The following is a 3342-nucleotide window of genomic DNA, read 5'->3' as shown; positions in this document are numbered from 1 at the left end:
ACGTGAATACTTGTGCTTCAGGGTGTCTCGGGGCTGCAATTAAGGCATCGTCTGGGATTATGGGCTGATCTGAAGGCATGAAGGGGTGGATCTACAAGGCCATACATACCAGGGGGCAGGAATCATTTGGGGCCACTTTGAAGGTTGCCTACCACACAGCTTTATTCATAACAGCCCCAAACTGGAAACAGCTTAGATGTCCATCAATGCGAAAATAGATAAACAAACTATGGTATATTCATATAACAGAATACTATTCAACAGTATAAAGGTTGAGTGGGCCAGACACAGTGGCTCACGCCTGTAATCCCAGCACATTGGGAGGCCAAGGTAGGTGGTTCACTTGAGCCCAGGGGTTTGAGACTAGCCTGGGCGACACGACGAAACCTCCCCTCTACAAAAAATACAAAAATTAGCCAGGCATCTTGAGGCGCGTTTGTAGCCCCAGCTACTTGGGAGGCTGAAGCAGGACTATCACTTGAGCCCAGGAGATGGAGGTTGCAGTGAGCCAAGATCGCACCACTACACTTCACCACTACACTTCACTTCTGAGTGACAGAGCAAGACCCTGTCTCAAAAAAAAAAAAAAAAGACCGAGTGCAAGAAGTTTTACACTAATTAAATAATACATAGTATATGATTCAATTTACATGAAGTTCTGTAACAGACAAAACTGCTAATTTCTTGTGGAAAAAAAATCAGAACAGTGGTTGCCCACAGTGTCTGGGGCCTGGAGGCAGAGGCTGGATAATTTTTCTTCTTTTGATACAGAATCTTGCTCTGTCACTCAGGTTGTAGTGCAGTGGCATAAACACCTCATTGCAGCCTCAAGATCCTCAGCTCAAGCAGGCCTCCCAGCTCAGCCTCCTGAGTAGCTAGGACGACAGGCATACTCCACCATACCTCAGTAATTTTTTTTTTTTTTGGCCAGGCATGGTAGCTCACACCTGTAATCCCAGCACTATGGGCAGCCAAGGCGGGCAGATCACCTGAGGTCAGGAGCTCAAGACCAGCCTGGCCAACGTAATGAAACCCGTCTCTACTAAAAATACAAAAATTAGCCAGGCATGATGGTGCACACCTGTAATCCCAGCTACTTGGGAGGCTGAGGCACAAGAATGGCTTAAACCTGGGAAGTGGAGGTTGCAGTGAACTGAGATTGCACCACTGTACTCCAGCCTGGGCAACAGAGTGAGACTCTGTCTTTAAAATAACAATTTTTTTTTTTTTTTTTGTAGAGACGAGGTCTCACTATGTTGCCCAGCTTGGCCTCTAACTCCTGGGCTCAAACAATCCTCCCACCTCGCCTCCCAAAGTGCTGGGATTACAGGCATGAGCCACCATGCCTGGCTAGGGGTGGATGATTGAGAAGAGGTGTGAAATAACTTTCTGGGTTGATGGTAATGTTCTGTGTCTTTATAGGGGTTTGGTAAATTCAGATACATGCATTTGTTAAAGTTCACTGAATCACCACTTAAGATTTGTGCTTTCTTTTTTTAATTTTTGAGACAGAGTCTCACTCTGTTGTCCAGGCCAGTGTGTGCAGTGGCGTGATCTCGGCTCACTGCAACCTCCGCCTCCCGGGTTCAAGCCATTCTCCTGCCTCAGCCTCCCGAGTAGCTGGGATTACAGGTGCCCACCAACACGCCCGGCTAATTTTTGTATTTTTAGTAGAGACGGGGTTTCACCATGTTGGCCAGACTGGTCTCGAACTCCTTGACCTCAGGTGATCCGCCCACCTTGGCGTCCCAAAGTGCTGGGATTACAGGCGTGAGCCACTGAGCCCGGCCCCAACTTTCAATATAAGGAGTCTAAGGCTTAAGATTAAATAGTTTAACAAATATTATACATGCTACTAGATCCAGAAGGTCTAACAGCAGAGCTCACACTCTTGACCACTCTGCTTTAGAGTTTGTTGTTGTTGTTGTTTTGTTTTGTTTTGAGACAGAGTCTCACTCTGTCACCCAGGCTGGAGTGCAGTGGCACGATGTTGGCTCACTGCAACCTCTGCCTCCTGGGTTCAAGCAATTCTCATGCCTCAGCCTTCCGAGTAGCTGGGATCACAGGCATGTTCCACCACTCCTGGCCTGCTTTAGGTATTGTCTGTCACCTCATTAGCCTTGTGGATTGGTGTCTGAACCCTGCAGAGAAAGAGGTTTCAGGCAGAATATGAGGAGCTGGTTTTACAAGGGACCCTATAAGGCACAGGGGGACAAAAGTGGAGGAGGTGGAACTTCTATACAGAAGACAGCATAATTCTAGCACCTCAAACATTGAAAGCAGCAAGAGATATAACCCTTGACAACATGCTGGTGTTTAGTGAGTGTTGGCCTCTGTTGTGAGTTGAATTGTATGCTGCAAAAAGATAAGTTGGAATCCTAACCCCCTCTCTGCCTATACCTGTGAATGTGACCTTATTTGGATACAGGGCCTTTGTGGATGTAATCAAGTTAAGATGAGGTCAAACTGGATACTCCTCTCTCTTGCCCTTACACGTTGTTAGGTAATTCAGGGGATAGATGAGATGACCCAAATCCTTGGCTTATAACCTCTGCAGATTCCTGAAAGAGGTATGTCTCAAAAAAAAAAAAAAAAAAAAGAAAGAAAGAAAGAAAAAAGAAAAAAAAAAGAAAAGAAAAATCATTTGGCTAGTTCTCTTAGTTATGTAAATTGAAGGCAAGAAGGCACTCTTAGGCAAGGAATAACAATGATTTTTTCTTTTGTTTTATTTTTATTTTTGAGACAGAGTCTCGCTCTGTCGCCCAGGCTAGAGTGCAGTGGCGTGATGTTGGCTCACTGCAACCTCTGCCTCCTGGGTTCAAGCAATCCTCCCACCTCAGCCTCCTGAGTAGTCGAGATTACAGGTATAGCAATTTTCAGAGTTCTGGAGAGTCTTGGGGAGAGAGTAGATGAATTTGCATAAGAAAGCAAGGGGATTTCTGAGAAGGAAGGGGCCAAGAATCCAATCTCTTCTTCCGTAGATCTAAAGTTTTGAAAATCTGTTGGGGTGGCAGTAAAAGACACTAGTGGTCTCAAAGAAGAAATTACCTTAGGCCGAGTGCAGTCGCTCACATCTGTAATCCCAGCATTTTGGGAGGCTGAGGTGGGAGGACATAGTGAAACTCCATCTCAAAAAAAAACGAGAAGGAAAGAGGCACGGCGCGGCAAGGCGAGGCGAGAGAGGCCAAGGTAGGCAGCTCACTTGAGGCCAGGAGTTCGAGACCAGCCTGGCAAACATGGCAAAACCCTGTCTCTACTAAAAATACAAAAATTAGCCAGCTGTGGTAGCACAAGCCTGTAGTCCCAGCTACTCGGGAGGCTGAGGCAGGAGAATCGCTTGAA

The 3342-nt window shown here is 46.2% G+C and overlaps 1 annotated feature.

Annotated features, from left to right (window-relative positions):
- Positions 1135-1799: an enhancer, noted in NCBI's record as "H3K27ac-H3K4me1 hESC enhancer chrX:54415213-54415877 (GRCh37/hg19 assembly coordinates)". NCBI's record gives its function as "activates a minimal SCP1, AML or CMV promoter by ChIP-STARR-seq in naive H9 embryonic stem cells {active_cell/tissue: H9 hESC(naive)}" and the evidence as "EXISTENCE:reporter gene assay evidence [ECO:0000049][PMID:30033119]".

The sequence above is a fragment of the Homo sapiens genome, chromosome X (assembly GCF_000001405.40).
Source record: "Homo sapiens chromosome X, GRCh38.p14 Primary Assembly".
NCBI classification, from domain to species: Eukaryota; Metazoa; Chordata; class Mammalia; order Primates; family Hominidae; genus Homo; species Homo sapiens.
The sequence above is the reverse complement of the archived record's forward strand: the minus strand, read 5'-3'. Positions and strand labels throughout refer to the sequence as shown.